Source organism: Homo sapiens, chromosome 3, assembly GCF_000001405.40.
Source record: "Homo sapiens chromosome 3, GRCh38.p14 Primary Assembly".
In the NCBI taxonomy this organism is placed as follows: Eukaryota; Metazoa; Chordata; class Mammalia; order Primates; family Hominidae; genus Homo; species Homo sapiens.
This window is the reverse complement of record NC_000003.12, coordinates 196,239,135-196,257,401: the sequence shown is the minus strand read 5'-3', so window position 1 is coordinate 196,257,401 and position 18,267 is coordinate 196,239,135. Positions and strand designations below refer to the sequence as shown.

The window sequence follows — 18,267 nt, the reverse complement described above, 5'->3', positions numbered from 1 at the left end:
CTGGCTATGATGCTGCCGATTGATAGAGGACAAAAATATCCCAAGTTGGGAGATGCTCGTCACTTAATTTTATTTTTACTGATATTATAATTTTCCAGGTTTTAAAAAATACTTTATTTTCAAAGCCCTTGCTCTTTATTTGCATGCTTAATTTACATAATTAATTAGCAGTTTTTGACACATAAATTACTAATATATATTCGAGATGCTTTTCTTATGTGGGGCAATTGGTTTTAGAGATCATTATAAAAAGAAACTTCCAAGAGCATTTGTTATGAATACAAAGTCCTATAGGCAAATATTCTTTCTTCTCTGTAAATTCCCCAATTCTCCCTTTTTTTCCAATCCTTTTTCACTTCTTCTGATTACTAAGTGTTCTCTCTACCCTGTAAATATAGGACTGAACTAAGACTCAGACAGACACCAGGGAATAAGAGGGATTTATAGCCACAAATCTGTGCATTTGCAGCATATACAGTATATTTGTGGTTACTTCTTAATTGTGTTGGTATGTTTGCTCTCTGTAGTAACTGAAGAACAGTGAAATACAAATAGAAGTGGGCCAGGAGTGGTGGCTCACACCTGTAATCCCAGCACTTTGGACACCAAGGCGGGCAGATCATCACTTGATGTCAGGAGTTCGAGACCAGCCTGGTTAACATGGTGAAACCCCTTCTCTACTAAAAATACAAAAGTTAGCTGGGCGTGGTGGTGGGCACCTGTAGTCCCAGCTACTCGGGAGGCTAAGGCACGAGAATTATGTGAACCTGGGAGGCAGAGATTGCAGTGAGCTGAGATCATGCCACTGTACTCCAGCCTGGGTGACAGAGCGAGACCCTGTCTCAAAACAAACAAACAAAAAACAAATAGAAGTGATGTACAGTGTCATACTGGGAAATTTTTTTTTCTTTTGAGGCAGAGTCTCACTCTGTTGCCCAGGCTGGCATGCAGTGGCACAATCTTGGCTCAGTGCAACCTCCTCCTCCCGGGTTCAAGCAATTCTTCTGCCCCAGCCTCCCGAGTAGCTGGGATTACAGGTGTGCACCACCACGCCTGGCTAATTTTTGTATTTTTAGTAGAGACGGGGTTTCACCATGTTGGCCAGGCTGGCCTCGAACTCCTGACCTCGTGATCCACCCACCTCAGCCTCCCAAAGTGCTGGGATTGCAGGCGTGAGCCACCGCGCCGGCCAATGCCGGGAATTTTAACACCTATCCTTTGGCCTTATCTTGGGTATATGTATTGTGGGTTTGGGGTCCTCAACAAAAAAGAGGCTAATTCCAGAGAATCCTTTCCTTTTGAAAAAATGTGTAGATATAGTTCATATTGATCACAACCTTCTGATTCATGATAAGATTTTTGAGTTTGGCTTCCCTTATTTGGGTAATAGGTAGGCTCCTGGAGGCAGGGTAAAATGACAAAGAAAACCAGAGACTATGGATTGTGTAATGGTAGCCAGGTCTAACTTCAAAACGCCAGAAGATAGTTCAGGGTTCACATTCAGATGTGATAGTAGAGGCTATTGAAAGCAAGAACTTTTTACATACTCTCTAATGACACACATTTACAATCAGCTATTCATTTAGATTTGATCTGATGGGTTGCATTATCCAGTTTGTTGCTAATTTGTCTATATATCATTTGTGGTACATAAAATTTGAAAATATGTGTACTGTTTCCAAGTTGATCTTTTGTTTTGTTTTGTTTTTGAGACAGAGTCTCGCTTGTCAACCAGGCTGGAGTGCGGTGGTGTGATCTCAGCTCACTGCAACATTTCCCTTCTGGGTTCAAGCAGTTCTCAAATCTCAGCCTCCCAAGTAGCTGGGATTACAGGAGTGAGCCACCGTGCCGGGCCTGTTTCCAAGTTTTAAAGCTTATAATTAACAAGTCCTGACTGGTATAATTGTTTTTAATTTTAGAATTATAGGATTTTACAAATAAGTCATTTTCAAGATTATCTACTTTATAGTTTCTTCATTAAGTACATAAAGCAATTAAGGTCCATAGTAACCAAGAAGCGAAGGCTTCCCCTACAGTAAAACGGATGATTAGTGGAATAGAATTGCAGCTCAAACCTCACCCGGGAATGGTGCTACTCATTGTAAGCATTAGAATAGAAGGCCTTCAGCAAAATAATTGTATTTTTGGTGGAACAAACAGCCACAAATTAGCCTATAAATTTGCCAGCTTAATTTGAACTCTGGTTTTTCTCTTAGATCTCATTTTGTCTGACTGTTTTATGTTAAATCACCAAGTAGGTAACTGCATTCATGCCAGTGCAGGACAAGGAATAAAGCAATAAAGAATGCACCTGCTCTAGTGAAGTTTCAACACCTCCCTCCTGCTCCCCAGGTTTTTACGAGGGAGGTTGTATAATCTAGGAGAAGATTCTCTACTTAGAGAAAAACAAATATGATTTGAGAGACAAGAAGGTCAGCTCTAGGAATCTTTTGGGAGATGAAAAAAATCAGCAATATGTTTAACTCAGAGAAAGGAAGGAAAAGGGAGAGTGTGAAGGGCAATGGAAATGTTAGGAACAGAATGTTTCGGTGGTAGGTATTTGGGAGAGTAAATCTATCAAAAGAGATCATTAACTGAAACCCAGGTTTCTTCTGCCTAAAGGAGGACATATGGTTACTTAGTCACCAGTGGTGCAGCGTATAATTCATAACCCACATAAACCATATAATTTATCATCCAAATCAGGACGGTTTTGAGCATGAAAGGGAGTTGCTGTTAATAATATACAGAGGTTGAGTGTGGTGGCTCATGCCTATAATCCCAGCACTTTGGGAGGCCAAGGCAGAAGGATTGCTTGAGGCTAGGAATTCAAGGCCAGCCTGGGCAATACAGTGAGATCCCATCTCTACAAAAATTTTAATAATTAGCCAGGTGTGGTGGTGTGCATCTATAGTCCCAGCCACTCAGGAGGCTGAGGTGAGAGGATTGTTTGAGCCCAGGAGGTCTAGACCACGGCAAGTCATGATTGCACCACTGCACTTCAGCCTGGGTGACAGAGACCCTATCTTAAAAAATAAATAAATACATAAATAAAAATTAAAAAAATATATATATAGGCCAGGTACAGTGACTCACACCTGTAATCCCAGCACTTTGGAAAGCTGAGGTGGGTGGATCATAAGGTCAGGAGATCGAGACCATCCTGGCTAACATGGTGAAACCCCGTCTCTACTAAAAATATAAAAAATTAGCCAGGCGTGGTGGCACACACCTGTAATCCCAGCTATTCAGGAGGCTGAGACAGGAGAATCACTTGAGCCTGGGAGGCAGAGGTTGCAGTGAGCCTAGGTCACGTCACTGCACTCTAGCCTGGGCGACAGAGTGAGACTCCGTCTCAAAAAAAAAAAATCTATCTATCTATCTATATAACATATATACATATGTAATATATGCATAATATATAAATGATATTAAATATGTATTATATAGTACATTATATAATAGAAACAGGAAAAATTATATTAAAAGTATATAATTTATATAAATATGATTATATATACTATAACATACATTAAATCAGGGGTGTGTTTATCCTGGCCAATAGCCACTTGGTAAAAGAATGGCTAACGCTAGCTTTCTTCCCAGACTAGTTCAACAGTGACCCCTTCTGGCCGTTTGGTTAATATATCAGCCTGGGTTTGCCAAAGACTTGGGATGGAATGGTGGCCAGTTGAGATGTTGGTAGGCTGGGGAAGCACTGGAGAGAGCAAGAGGCGCATCTGGGATTGGTCTGAGAAAAGGTTCAGTGATCTACTTGGCCTAACATAGGATGATTAGCTGTGCTGCAAGCAGCCACTTGATCAACAGCATTCTGTGCTATTGCCACCATCCAGGCAATGTGTTTCTTGAGCAAAATTTCCCTGCTGTATGCTGTCTAGTAGCAAAGAAACAACAAAGTAGTCTTCATTTGTATATTCTATCCCTTGTGTTTCAGGATCGAATAGTGTGAGATCATAGCCCCTCTGGACTTGTTTAGGGAAAATGGAACTATGTTAGTTACTTCATGGACGTGACTTCTGGGATACTTCAATTTTTTTTTTTTTTGAGACAGAGTCTTGCTCTGTCTCGCAGGCTGGAGTGCAGTGGCGCGATCTCAGCTCACTGCAACCTCTGCCTCCTGGGTTCAAGAGATTCTCCTGCCTCAGCCTCCCGAGTAGCTGGGATTACAGGCGCCCACCACCATACCCAGCTAATTTTTGTATTTTTAGTAGACACAGGGTTTCACCATGTTGGCCAGGCTGGCCTCAACTGCTGACCTCAGGTGATCCACCTGCCTTGGCCTCCCAAAGTGCTGGGATTACAGGCGTGAGCCACTGTGCCCGGCCCAAAAATCTTTTTAATGTATTATTTTTTAATAGGCATAGAGCCAATGCAGTGATTTCTGGGACATAGAAGGGGGATTATATGCTCAAATTTTGTTTTATTTTGCTTTGTCTTATTAAAAATTATCTTTTTAAAAATATTTTTTTCTTCTTTTTTTTTAGTTGACACATGCTGGCAGTAAAAAATAATTTTAATAGAGATAGGGTTTCACTGTGTTGCCCAGGCTGGTCTCAGACTCCTGGGCTCAAGCAGTCCTCCTACCTTGGTCTCCCAAGGTGCTGGAATTACAGGTGTGAGCTACTGTACCCAGCCTGCTTTCTCTCATAGATGAGAAAACTGAGGCATAAGGAAGTTAAGGTTACAGAGGAAGAAAGCTGGTTGGAAAGCTTGGTCAAAGCTTGAGCTATGACCTTTCTGACTCTTAAATCCATTAATTAATTCTTAGTTTTTCATTGGATTGGTATATTTAATTTAAAATTTTTATTTCCTGTATTATAAAATCAATACAACCAGCCTGGGCTGGGCATGGTGGCTCACGCCCGTAATCCCAGAACTTCGGGAGGCCAAGGCGGGCAGATCACTTGAGGTCAGGAAATTGAGACCAGCCTGGCCAACATGGGATACGAATATAAAAATACAAAAATTATCCCGGCTTGGTGGCTTTCGCCTGTAATCCCAGTGACTTGGGAGGCTGAGGCAGGATAGTCACTTGAACCCAGGAGGCAGAGGTTGCAGTGAGCCTAGATCATGTCACCACACTCCAGCCTGGGCAACAGAGCAAGACTCCATCTCAAATAAATAAATAAATAAAAATACAACTAGCTTGGGCAACATGTGAAACCCCATCTGTACAAAAAATACAAAAATCAGCTGAGCGTAGTGGTGTGCGCTGTAGCCAGTGGGGCGTGGCGGTGTGCACTGTAGCCAGTGGGGCGTGGCGGGGTGCGCTGTAGTCTGCGGGGCGTGGCGGGGTGCGCTGTAGTCAGCGGGGCGTGGTGGTGTGCGCTGTAGTCCCAGCTTCTCGGGAGGCTGAGGCGGGAGGATCATTTGAGCCTGGGAGGTGGAGGTTTCAGTGATCTGAGACCATGCCACTGCACTCCAGCCAGGGTGACAGAGCCAGACCCTGTCTCAAAAAATCAAATCAAGTGAAATCAATACATTCCCACAGTTTAATATCCATAAAATACAAAAAGGGCATAAAGTAAAATGTCTCCCTCTCAAGACCTGTCTCACAGCCACCTGGTATCCCTATAACAGGCCACCAATATTACCCATTTCTGTGAATATCTAAGTAAATTGTTTATATATCCTCCCACCTTTTAGTGGGTGTATTATGCTATATTCAATCTTCCGTTGAAATGTAGGTCGTTTCCTGACTGTTGCTATTATAAACAGTACTGCAATGAATAACATCTATATTTACTGTGAGATAATTCCCAGAATTAGAAAAGCTGGGCCACAGCTATAAGCATTTGTCGTTTGTCTTTTGATAGATACGACCTAATTGCCCTTCTTGAAAGTTGCTGATACTCCTTTCAGCAGTGTATGATTTCTTGGTTTAAAATCTACTTATTTATGAGTAAAGCTTTTTGAAAACAAAAATTCATAAACCTCCTGAGAACTACTTTCCTTCTCCTTCATTCATTGCCCTGAAGACAGGAAGGAGATGTATCTGATCCTCAACCTCAGCATGGTGTATCTGATCCTCAGCCTCAGCATAGTGTATCTGGTCCTCAGCCTCAGCATAGTGTATCTGATCCTCAACCTCAGCATGGTGTATCTGGTCCTCAACCTCAGCATGGTGTATCTGGTCCTCAGCCTCAGCATGGTGTATCTGGTCCTCAGCCTCAGCATGGTGTATCTGGTCCTCAGCCTCAGCATGGTGTATGTGATCCTCAGCCTCAGCATGGTGTATCTGGTCCTCAGCCTCAGCATGGTGTATCTGATCCTCAGCCTCAGCATGGTGTATCTGGTCCTCAGCCTCAGCATGGTGTATCTGGTCCTCAGCCTCAGCATGGTGTATCTGGTCCTCAGCCTCAGCATGGTGTATCTGGTCCTCAGCCTCAGCATAGGGTATCTGGTCCTCAACCTCAGCATAGTGTATCTGATCCTCAGCATAGTGTATCTGGTCCTCAGCCTCAGCATGGTGTATCTGGTCCTCAGCCTCAGCATAGTGTATCTGATCCTCAACCTCAGCATGGTGTATCTGATCCTCAGCATAGTGTATCTGGTCCTCAACCTCAGCATAGTGTATCTGATCCTCAGCATAGTGTATCTGGTCCTCAACCTCGGCATAATATATCTGATCCTCAGCCTCAGCATAGTGTATCTGATCCTCAGCCTCAGCATAGTGTATCTGATCCTCAACCTCAGCATGGTGTATCTGATCCTCAACCTCAACATAGTGTATCTGATCCTCAGCCTCAGCATAGTGTATCTGGTCCTCAGCATAGTGTATCTGATCCTCAGCCTCAGCATAGTGTATCTGGTCCTCAACCTCAGCATAGTGTATCTGATCCTCAGCCTCAGCATAGTGTATCTGGTCCTCAGCATAGTGTATCTGGTCCTCAGCCTCAGCATAGTGTATCTGATCCTCAGCCTCAGCATAGTGTATCTGATCCTCAGCATAGTGTATCTGATCCTCAGCCTCAGCATAGTGTATCTGGTCCTCAGCCTCAGCATAGTGTATCTGATCCTCAGCCTCAGCATAGTGTATCTGATCCTCAGCATAGTGTATCTGATCCTCAGCCTCAGCATAGTGTATCTGGTCCTCGCCTCGGCATGGTGTATCTGGTCCTCAGCCTCGGCATGGTGTACCTGGTCCTCAGCCTCGGCATGGTGTACCTGGTCCTCTGCCTCGGCATGGTGTACCTGGTCCTCAGCCTCGGCATGGTGTACCTGGTCCTCAGCCTCGGCATGGTGTACCTGGTCCTCAGCCTCGGCATGGTGTACCTGGTCCTCAGCCTCGGCATGGTGTATCTGGTCCTCAGCCTCGGCATGGTGTATCTGGTCCTCAGCCTCGGCATGGTGTATCTGGTCCTCAGCCTCGGCATGGTGTACCTGATCCTCAGCATAGTGTATGTGGTACTCAACCTCAGCATGGTGTATCTGGTCCTCAGCCTCAGTATAGTGTATCTGGTCCTCAGCCTCAGCATAGTGTATCTGGTCCTCAGCCTCAGCATAGTGTATCTGGTCCTCAGCCTCAGCATAGTGTATCTGGTCCTCAGCCTCAGCATAGTGTATCTGGTCCTCAGCCTCGGCATGGTGTATCTGATCCTCAACCTCAGCATAGTGTATCTGATGACACTTTGACCTATCTTTCCCAAATGATGTAAATGCTCCTGTCAGTTTCTGCTGCAGTAAAATAGCTCTTCCTTTATTCACAGAAAGGGAATAAGTTACATGGACTCCTTAGATTTATTATTTAAAGCATGATGGACCATTATGCTGATTCTGTTTTTAATGTTTATTTCACTTTGGAATTAGTCTTGTTCCCCGGGAAATCATTTCCTGGCTTCTAAGTTGACAGTTCTCTGTTATTTGTTGTGCCTGAAAAGTTTGGTACAACCAGGCTAACAGAGGCAGTTAGTGCAGATGATGATGTCAAAAATCTCTTTATAGGCTGAGCATGGTGGCTCACACCTGGAATCCCAGCATTTTGGGAGGCCAAGGTGGGATTGCTTGAGTCCAGGAGTTCGAGACCAGCCTGGGCAACATGGTCTCTACAAAAAAAAAAAAAAAAAATTAGCTGGGCATGGTGGTGTCCATCTGTGGTCCCATCTACTTGGGAGGCTGAGATGGGAGGATCACTTGAGCCCAGGAGGTCAAGGCTGCCGTGAGCTGTGACCACATCAGTGCACTCCAGGCTGGATGACAGAGTGAGACCCTGTCTCAAAAAAAAAATGAAAAGGTCTTTATAGTCATTTTTCATAACCCAACCTACCCCTAAAATCAGGGTGAATACCCAGAGAACACCTAAAGAAAGGAGTATGCAGTTGGGCCGGGCGCGGTTGCTCACACCTGTAATCCCAGCACTTTGGGAGGCTTAGGCGGGTGGATCACGAGGTCAGGAGATCGAGACCATCCTGTCTAACACTGTGAAACCCCATCTCTACTAAAAAATAATACAAAAAATTAGCTGGGCTTGGTGGTGGGCGCCTGTAGTTCCAGCTACTCAGGAGGCGGAGGCAGGAGAGTCGCTTGAATCCGGGAGTTGCAGGTTGTAGTGAGCCGAGATCGTGCCACTGCACTCCAGTCTGGGTGATGGAGCGAGATTCCGTCTCAAGAAAAAAATAAAAAAAAAGAAAGGAGTATACAGTCATGGAACTGTCACACAGAGCCAGTTCCATTTGCCAAGTACAAGATATCGAATCAATGTATTTTTGTGGCTTGGCATGGTGGTTCACACCTGTAATCCCAGCACTTTGGGAGGCTGAGGCTGGCGGGTCATTTGAGACCAGGAATTCGAGACCAGCCTGGCCAACAAGGAAAAACCCCATCTCTACTAAAAACACAAAAATTAGGCAGGCGTGATGACATGCACCTGTAATCCCAGCTGCTTGGGAGGCTGAGGCAGGAGAATCACTTGAACCCAGGAGGCGGAAGTTGCAGTGAGCCGAGATCACGCCACTGCACTCCAGCCTGGGTGACAGAGTGAGACTCGGCCTCAAAAATAAAAATAAAAATGACAAAAAAAAAGGTATTTTTGTGATCAATTCTTTCATTTGGATTTAGGTGAGCGACCTGTGAGAGTTTATGCCGATGGAATATTTGACTTATTTCACTCTGGTCACGCCCGAGCTCTGATGCAAGCGAAGAACCTTTTCCCTAATACGTACCTCATTGTGGGAGGTAAGAAAACATTTGGTGACTTCAGGTGCTGTGCAGAAAAAGATGATAGTACAGTCTGTCTTTCTCAGCTGAGTACACTGGCTCTTGTTTCCATTTTTAAATGAAGGATGTAGTACAGCCTCTCTAACACACATGAAGTATATGGGTACCAGCAAACTAAACCTGGAGAGAGGAGCTTCAAGCTCCTCGACTGTGCCATCTGGCATTTATTCACTGCTTGTAGCTGAGTTTCTGTGGTCACAGGAGCAGCCGTGACTTCCGTTGTCCACTTTAAAACATTTGCTTTAGATTTCAGTTTATCATTTTGAATTAACTGGAGTACAAAAGTCTGCCAAGGAAATGTTAGGTGGTCCAGTCCAGTGTGAATAAAACAGGAAAACATGTTTAAGGACTTAATTGATGCAGACACGCACAGCAGGTTTATTTCAGAGTCAAAGATCTTGGTCACCTGTTGTACTGTCCCTTCTCCAAAGTATGAACATACTGTTTAGTGAGTGTTGCTCCTGAAGGTATACGCTGCATTAGGAAAAGCGTTATCACCCAGGTTCAACCACCTTTAGAAGACTTTTTTCCAGTTGGGGAAGATGGTTGCAGTCCTAAGCAGTGGGAGAAGATGGGAGAGGTCGGTGGCTGAGGAGGTGCTAAGCAAAGAGGACTCCAACACACAATTTATGATGTGGTGAACCAGTTTGCAGTGATGAGCTCACACACAACTTCAAAGGCTTCACGGTGATGAACGAGAATGAGCGCTATGACGCAGTCCAGCACTGCCGCTACGTGGATGAGGTGGTGAGGAATGCGCCCTGGACGCTGACACCCGAGTTCCTGGCCGAACACCGGGTAAGAAACTGGACACATATTCCCATTCCTTGTTTCAGAATCCCCTCAACTCTCAAAGCTGCTGGCACGTAGGCTGGTTTTCCACTAGCCGTGTTTTACTTCTACCTCTTATGTAAGTTTCGTAGGAGATGACAGTGATATTACTAGTGATAACAGTCACCCCTGACGTTTATATGGGGCTGGATGGTTTGCAAGCACTTTTACATCCATTCTATTCCATTTTCTGCCCACAGCAATCCTGTGGTGTGTTTGTCATTTCCGCTTTACATATGAGTAACAAGGGCTAGAGAAACCAAATAACCTGCTCCAAGTTACACCATTGGCAGGGCTGGGAACTGAACTCGCCACAAGTTACACCACTGGCAGGGCTGGGAACTGAACTCGCCACAAGTTACACCACTGGCAGGGCTGGGAACTGAACTCGCCACAAGTTACACCACTGGCAGGGCTGGGAACTGAACTCGCCACAAATTACACCACTGGCAGGGCTGGGAACTGAACTCGCCACAAGTTACACCACTGGCAGGGCTGGGAACTGAACTCACCAGTTACGAGACCTTCCCCCCACACCATAGGCACATCTACCCTTAGAACATGCCAGTCTCCTGAGAATATCCATAGCCCCAGGTGAACTCTGAAGACGGTCACATTACCAGGAAATAAGACGGATTAACATAGACTTTTCTTGGCTTAAGTTTCATTTCAGGGCTTTGATCTTATGCTAGAAATTGGGTGGAATCAGAAATCAAGGATATTTCTCACTGTTTCTCAGTAAGTTATTATCAACCCCTTACCTCCTTTTAATTCTCCCACATTAAAGTAACAGATTTCAGCCAGGTGCAGTGGCTCACGCCTGTAATCCAAGCACTTTGGGAGGCCAAGGTGGGAGGATCGCTTGAGCCCAGGAGCTCAAGACCAGCCTGGGCAACATACCGAGACCCTGTCTCTACTTTAAAAAAAAAAAAGCCACAGGTTTCCTGCAAAAGGTGGGTACAAAAGATGAGAAGGATTGATTAGGCCAGGTTAGAGGCCCCCAAGCCTGAGGAAATAGCAAGCATGTTGTCAGTTCTCTACAGGGGCGCGTGGAATGTTGTAGGTAAATTGTTCAGTGAGGCAGAAAGAATGAAGGCAGCCAAAGTGCTTCTAAAGCAATACGTGGGTAGGCCTGAAGAGGGGATATTTATTAAAACTATTGAGGATTAGGACAGACCTTTTATAATTCTCTGGCTTTTCTACATCAACACCTAGCAGCCAGTGGCACCAAAGGTGGTAAGCAAGTTTATTCTCAGCACCACAGCCCACAGGCCCAGACAGAAGTATGAAGTTAGAGGAATTTCTAACTCCCCTTTTCTCTTTGTTAACAATATATACTCAACCTTGAGTTTTGCTTGTCCCATTCTTTTTTTTTTTTTTTTTGAGACAGAGTTTTGCTCTGTTGCCCAGGCTGGAGTGCAATGGCGTGATCTCGGATCACCGCAACCTCCGCCTCCCGGGTTCAAGTGATTCGCCTGCCTCAGCCTCCCGAGTAGCTGGGATTACAGGTGCGCGCCACCATGCCCGGCTAATTTCTTGTATTTTTAGTAGAGGCAGTGTTTCGCCGTTTTGGCCAGGCTGGTCTTGAACTCCTGACCTCAGGTGATCCACCCGGCCTCCTATTCTTTACTTTGCTGCCTATGGATCCCTGACAAGTTGTTCATGAGTAATTGAGATGCTGGCTGAGAGTCTCTGACATAGTCCCAATGAACATGCTTCACACTACAGTGGTCTCTCGGGGATGGTATAGTGATCTTAGTAATTATCAGCAAAAGGCTGGTGGCCCATACAGGAAGGAGTAAGTGAAGTTTAGCACGCCTCCGAACAACATTATTGATCCCCAGTATCATTCATCTCTTCTTGCCCTTGCAAAGGATATTCATAGCAGTAAAATGGCCAGGCGCTGTGGCTCACGCCTGTAATCCCAGCACTTTGGGAGGCCAAGTCAGGTGGATCACTTGAGGTCAGGAGTTCGTGACCAGCCTGGCCAACACGGTGAAACCCTGTCTACTAAAAATGCAAAGATTAACCAGGCGGGGTGACATGCGCCTGTAGTCCCAGCTACTCGGGAGGCTGAGGCAGGAGAATCGCTTGAATCCAGGAGGCAGAGGTTTCAGTGAGCCGAGACTGTGCCACTACACTCCAGCCTGGGCGACAGAGCGAGACTCGGTCTCAAAAAAAAAAAAAAAAGTAGTGAAATGATAGATCCTGAGGATAAAACTTCTTTTATTTATTTATGTATTTTTATTGATCATTCTTGGGTGTTTCTCGCAGAGGGGGATTTGGCAGGGTCATAGGACAATAGTGGACGGAAGGTCAGCAGATAAACAAGTGAACAAAGGTCTCTGGTTTTCCTAGGCAGAGGGCCCTGCGGCCTTCTGCAGTGTTTGTGTCCCTGGGTACTTGAGATTAGGGAGTGGTGATGACTCTTAACGAGCATGCTGCCTTCAAGCATCTGTTTAACAAAGCACATCTTGCACCGCCCTTAATCCATTTAACCCTGAGTGGACACAGCACATGTTTCAGAGAGCACAGGGTTGGGGGTAAGGTCACAGATCAACAGGATCCCAAGGCAGAAGAATTTTTCTTAGTACAGAACAAAATTGAGTCTCCCATGTCTACTTCTTTCTACACAGACACAGCAACAATCTGATTTTTCTATCTTTTCCCCACATTTCCCCCTTTTCTATTCGACAAAACCGCCATCGTCATCATGGCCCGTTCTCAATGAGCTGTTGGGTACACCTCCCAGACGGGGTGGTGGCCGGGCAGAGGGGCTCCTCACCTCCCAGTAGGGGCGGCCGGGCAGAGGCGCCCCTCACCTCCCGGACGGGGTGGCTGCCGGGCGGAGACGCTCCTCACTTCCCAGACCGGGTCGCGGCCGGGCAGAGGAGCTCCTCACATCCCAAACGGGGCGGCGGGGCAGTGGCGCTCCCCACATCTCAGACGATGGGCGGCCGGGCAGAGACGCTCCTCACTTCCTAGACGGGATGGCGGCGGGGAGGAGGCGCTCCTCACTTCCCAGACTGGGCAGCCGGGCAGAGGGGCTCCTCACATCCCAGACGATGGGCGGCCAGGCAGAGACGCTCCTCACATCCCAGACGGGGTCGTGGCCGGGCAGAGGCGCTCCTCACCTCCAAGACTGGGTGGCGGTCGGGCAGAGACACTCCTCAGTTCCCAGACGGGGTCGTGGCCTGGCAGAGGCGCTCCTCACATCCCAGATGGGGCGGCGGGGCAGAGGCGCTCCCCACATCTCAGACGATGGGCGGCCGGGAAGAGGCGCTCCTCACTTCCCAGACTGGGCGGCCGGGCAGAGGGGCTCCTCACATCCCAGACGATGGGCGGCCAGGCAGAGACGCTCCTCACTTCCCAGACGGGGTGGCGGCCGGGCAGAGGCTGCAGTCTCAGCACTTTGGGAGGCCAAGGCAGGCGGCTGGGAGGTGGAGGTTGTAGCGAGCCGAGATCACGCCACTGCACTCCAGCCTGGGCAGCATTGAGCACTGAGTGAACGAGACTCCGTCTGCAATCCCGGCACCTCGGGAGGCCGAGGCTGGCGGATCACTCGCGGTTAGGAGCTGGAGACCAGCCCGGCCAACACAGCAAAACCCTGTCTCCACCAAAAAAATACGAAAACCAGTCAGGCGTGGCGGCGTGCGCCTGCAATGGCAGGCACTGGGCAGGCTGAGGCAGGAGAATCAGGCAGGGAGGTTGCAGTGAGCAGAGATGGCGGCAGTACAGTCCAGCTTCCGCTCGGCATCAGAGGGAGACCATAGAAAGAGAGGGAGAGGGAGACCGTGGGGAGAGGGAGAGGGGAGAGGGGAGAAGGGAGAGGGGAGAGGGAGAAAACTTCTCTTATGGCCTTCGGTTTGTATTTCTCAGGCCAATAGATGTATCTATTCCAGTCAGAGGGCTCGTGGTTGCTATTTTTATATTCCCTCTTTTCTCACGGACTGAGAGAAACTAGTTAAGAAAGAAGTAACCTCTTTCTCATACTTTTTTTTTTTTTGAGACAGAGTCTTGCTTTGTCACCCAGGCTGGAGTGCAGTGGTGCGATTTTGGCTCACTGTAGCCTCTGCCTCCTGGGTTCAAGCAATTCTCCTGCCTCAGCCTCCCAAGTAGCTGGGACTACAAGCGCCCGCCACCATGCCTGGCTAATTTTTTTGTATTTTTAGTAGAGACGGGGTTTCACCATGTTAGCCACGTTAGTCTTGAACTCCTGACCTCGTGATCTGCCCGCCTTGGCCTCCCAAAGTGCTGGGATTACAGGCATGAGCCACCGTGCCTGGCCTTTCTCATACTTTTAGAAACCCTTATTTGACCAAATCCTTCCAGACCCAGGACAGGGAGATTTCCTTCTTTCCTAGGCTCCACCCACTAACCGGTTCACCAGCAAACCCTCTGGCCCTATTGACCACAGCAAGATGACTGGTATACAGAGTGAGGGTAACAGTTCTAGCAGACTAGGAGAAATAGCTACAAAAGCAGCTGGCTAACTTCATATGTATACTCCATAAATCATTAGGTTGGGTGGTTTGTGAATAGATTGTAGAATTTATGAGCAAAGCAAAGAGAGATATGAAGTCCACTGAGGCCTGGCCTCTGCCTATTGTCCTTTTTCTGGGCCTGAGAACATTGACTGGGTCTTTCTGAATGGCAGTTATCATGGGTTTTAATGATGTTTCCTTATTTTCAGATTGATTTTGTAGCCCATGATGATATTCCTTATTCATCTGCTGGCAGTGATGATGTTTATAAGCACATCAAGGAGGCAGGTGAGTGAGCTGTGCTTCCTCACTGTAGGGGATCTCAGGGCAGCTGCAGATGTTCAGCCATGTTGCTGCTTTACAGAGGAAAATGTGTACATTAGAAATTCAACATCCTCTTTCAGGCCACATTTTGGATAAAAGGTAAAGATGAGCATAGCACCCATCAATTCTTTGTCGTCAGTTCATGACATCCATCAATTCTTGGTCTAAACATCTACTTTGGATATCTCTCTTAATTTCAGGAAACCCTTTCTCATATTTTTCTTAATATTAGGGCTATGTAACTCTTCTTTGCCTTACCTCTGGCCTTTGATTCGGTCTACCTTCTGTATATCAGTATCTTTCAGTTTCATTTAGTAATAACAGATTCTGCTTTTTGAGGAAAGGAAAGGAATGTTGCCCCCAATTTCCATTTAGTCTTAATACCTGAGCTAACCAGAACCTCACAGTGTTTGTCTGTATGTGTTTCTGAGTTAGGCATGTTTGCTCCAACACAGAGGACAGAAGGTATCTCCACATCAGACATCATCACCCGAATTGTGCGGGATTATGATGTGTATGCGAGGCGGAACCTGCAGAGGGGCTACACAGCAAAGGAGCTCAATGTCAGCTTTATCAACGTGAGTTCCAGCCTTACCCCAGAGTTCCCTGACTCTGTAGGAGACATATCACCTCCCACTCCATCTCAGCTGAACTGGCTTTGCAGTTGGCTTTGATGATCACTCCCAAAAGTTCAGTGAATGAATTACCACTATGTTAACTGTTCACAAAAAGAATGAAACAGACAGTTTCTGCCGTTACGGTCTGGTACCAACACATTCGTATAAAGCCATACAGCCAACTAAATAAATGAGTAATTTATATAGTGCAGTATTTCTGTCAATAAATGGAAAACGGTGTCTCTTAAACTTCCTCTCTCTTCTTCGGTTGGATGATGTCTTGGGAACCTGCGAAAGGCTATGAGCCCTCCTCGTGTGGATAGTGACACCCGACACACCACTTCCCACACAGACCTGAGTTTTAAATTTGGATTGACGAAAGTTAAGTTTATCTTAGCTTAATATTGCCTTTTAGAAACTCTATATATTTTTCTGGGCATGGTAGTTCATGCCTGTACTTTGGGAGGCTGAGGCGGGAGGACTGCTTGAGGCCAGGAGTTTGAGACCAGTCTGGGGGCAACATAGCGAGACCCCATCTCTAAACAAACAGACAAACAAAAAAACTAAAAAAATTCATGCAAATATATATATATGTAGTGTTTCTTTCTTTTTGAGACAGGGTCTCGCTCTGTCACCGAGGCTGGAGTGCAGTGGCGTGATCTCGGCTCACTGCAGCCTCTGTCTCCTGGTGCCTTAGCCTCCTGAATAGCTGTGATTACAGGCATGTGCCACCAGGCCTGGCTAATTTTTTTTTTTTTTTTTTTTTTTTTTTTTTTTAGCAGAGATGGGGTTTTGCCATGTTTGCCAGGCTGGTCTCAAACTCCTGGCCTCAAGCGATCGGACCCCCTTGGCCTCGCAAAGTGCTGGGATTACAGGCATGAGCCACCGTATCCAGCCAACACTATACATTTTGTATGTAAATTAGACCTCAATAAAATCGATTTAAAAAGAAGAAAGCTGCTAACTTTAATGTCTTCTACATAACCAGTTTACCATGCTCCCTGACCTACTCCCATCTCTGTAAATTGTGCTATAAGAATGGATAAAATGATTACATCTAAATATGATTTATCTAGGCAGATAAACCCTAGCTCTTGTTAATTTACTTACTATAGCTTTATTTTTCCCATAAAAATCAGGTGTTTAAAAATTCTAAACATAATCCCTTTTCTCTTTATGATCTGGAAATTTTGAGAGTACTTTTCTTTTTCTTTTTTTGAGATAGAGTCACACTCAGTCATCCAGGCCAGAGTACAGTGGCGCAATCTTGGCTTACTGCAGCCTTGACCTCCGGGCTCAAGTGCTCCTCCCATCTCAGCCTCCTGAGTAGCTGGGACTACAGGCACAGGCCACCATACCCAGCTTATTTTTTATATTTTTATTTTTAGTAGAGATGAGGTCTTGCTATGTTGTCCAGGCTGCTCTCGAGTTCCTGGCCTCAAGCAGTCCTCCCACTTCGGCTTCCCAAAGTGCTGGTATTACAGGCATGAGCCACTGTGCCTGGCCAAGGATACTTCTCATTTGACTAAATACTCCCTTCCCTTCCACCGGAGGGTTTATACCATTTTCCTTATCTTTAGCAAAGTTGGTAAGACCAACGAGTATCATCATTTTGCAAATGAGTAAATGGACCTTAAAATACTAAAGGAACAAAAAGCAAAAAACACAATTCATTTAAAATAATAGAATAAGCCAGTGATAGAGGGGAAAAATCCAGTACAATAAGCAGATTAATTAAGTAAAAGATCTAGTATTTTCTCTTTCAATCTATTGTAATTAGTTTATTCTTGGCAGTATTGTGCAGTGATCTTTTAGCTGCCTCTGTATCTCCGTCTGGAATGAGGTTCGGGCCATGCTGCGCATGTTTATGTTCCAAGTTTATGTTTTATCTTTAAAACTCTGACTTTATTTGGCTACGTGCCTGTTACTGGGTATAGCCTATATTTTTAGTTTATTCCCAAATGCCCACAATATTAGAATTACCACTTCTTGTGTGTGCATCCACAGCATATCTTATCTGTTATTATGCTGAGAGTGGGGTAGATTAAAGCAAAGCAAAATTCTAGACTGAAAACAGTGTCAATTGAGTGCTTGAGCCATGTTTTTTCGTTCTCTTATGGTAGAGAAGTTTAGGATGAGCATTATTTCTCAGAAGAGTTATTTCTTTATCTAGGAGAAGAAATACCACTTGCAGGAGAGGGTTGACAAAGTAAAGAAGAAAGTGAAAGATGTGGAGGAAAAGTCAAAAGAATTTGTTCAGAAGGTGGAGGAAAAAAGCATTGACCTCATTCAGAAGTGGGAGGAGAAGTCCCGAGAATTCATTGGAAGTTTTCTGGAAATGTTTGGTCCGGAAGGAGCACTGGTATGTTCTTTCCCACTGGACAATGTAGGGAGTTCCATGTTGTGGAAAGAATGACAGAATCATTGAGCAGGAAGGGGCATCGACACTGAGAAGTTATCTAGTCTATCCCCTTATCTGGGCAGAACTATCTTTCAACTGTCCCCAGCAAGGTTTTTGAAACCTTTACAGAAAGACGTTACACATTCTCCTAGATAATTTTGCCAGCTCTCTCTCAACCTTAAAGTCTGGTGACAAGATAAGCAAGTCGCCTTGCCCAGCTTTTATCTGTGGTATGATTTTAGATAGAAGGAAAGGAAAGAATAAAGAACAATAAAAAGAAAGCAGCCTCCACTACAAGTAGCTGCAGCAGGAACCCCAGGTAAGGTGGGAATTCTGTCTTTGAGGAGTAGCAGTCTTTTCAACCAAATAAAAG

General features: G+C 45.7%; 1 protein-coding gene across 2 annotated transcripts in view, besides 1 other annotated feature; it reads left to right on the top strand.

Moving 5' to 3' along the window:
• The window catches only part of PCYT1A (phosphate cytidylyltransferase 1A, choline), a 53,359-nt gene that overhangs the window by 30,325 nt on the left and 4,767 nt on the right, over nt 1-18,267 (top strand). For both annotated transcript variants that reach the window (NM_001312673.2, NM_005017.4), the window contains 5 exons: nt 9,079-9,195; nt 9,884-10,035; nt 14,762-14,840; nt 15,312-15,454; nt 17,667-17,855. In NM_001312673.2, the coding sequence (NP_001299602.1) occupies nt 9,079-9,195; nt 9,884-10,035; nt 14,762-14,840; nt 15,312-15,454; nt 17,667-17,855 (680 nt within the window). The remainder of the gene's footprint in view (nt 1-9,078; nt 9,196-9,883; nt 10,036-14,761; nt 14,841-15,311; nt 15,455-17,666; nt 17,856-18,267) is intronic.
• Nucleotides 9,428-10,627: an enhancer, noted in NCBI's record as "BRD4-independent group 4 enhancer chr3:195973646-195974845 (GRCh37/hg19 assembly coordinates)". NCBI's record gives its function as "activates an origin of replication core promoter dependent on BRD2, P300/CBP, MED14 and CDK7 cofactors, and independent of BRD4, by STARR-seq in HCT116 cells {active_cell/tissue: HCT116}" and the evidence as "EXISTENCE:reporter gene assay evidence [ECO:0000049][PMID:35650434]".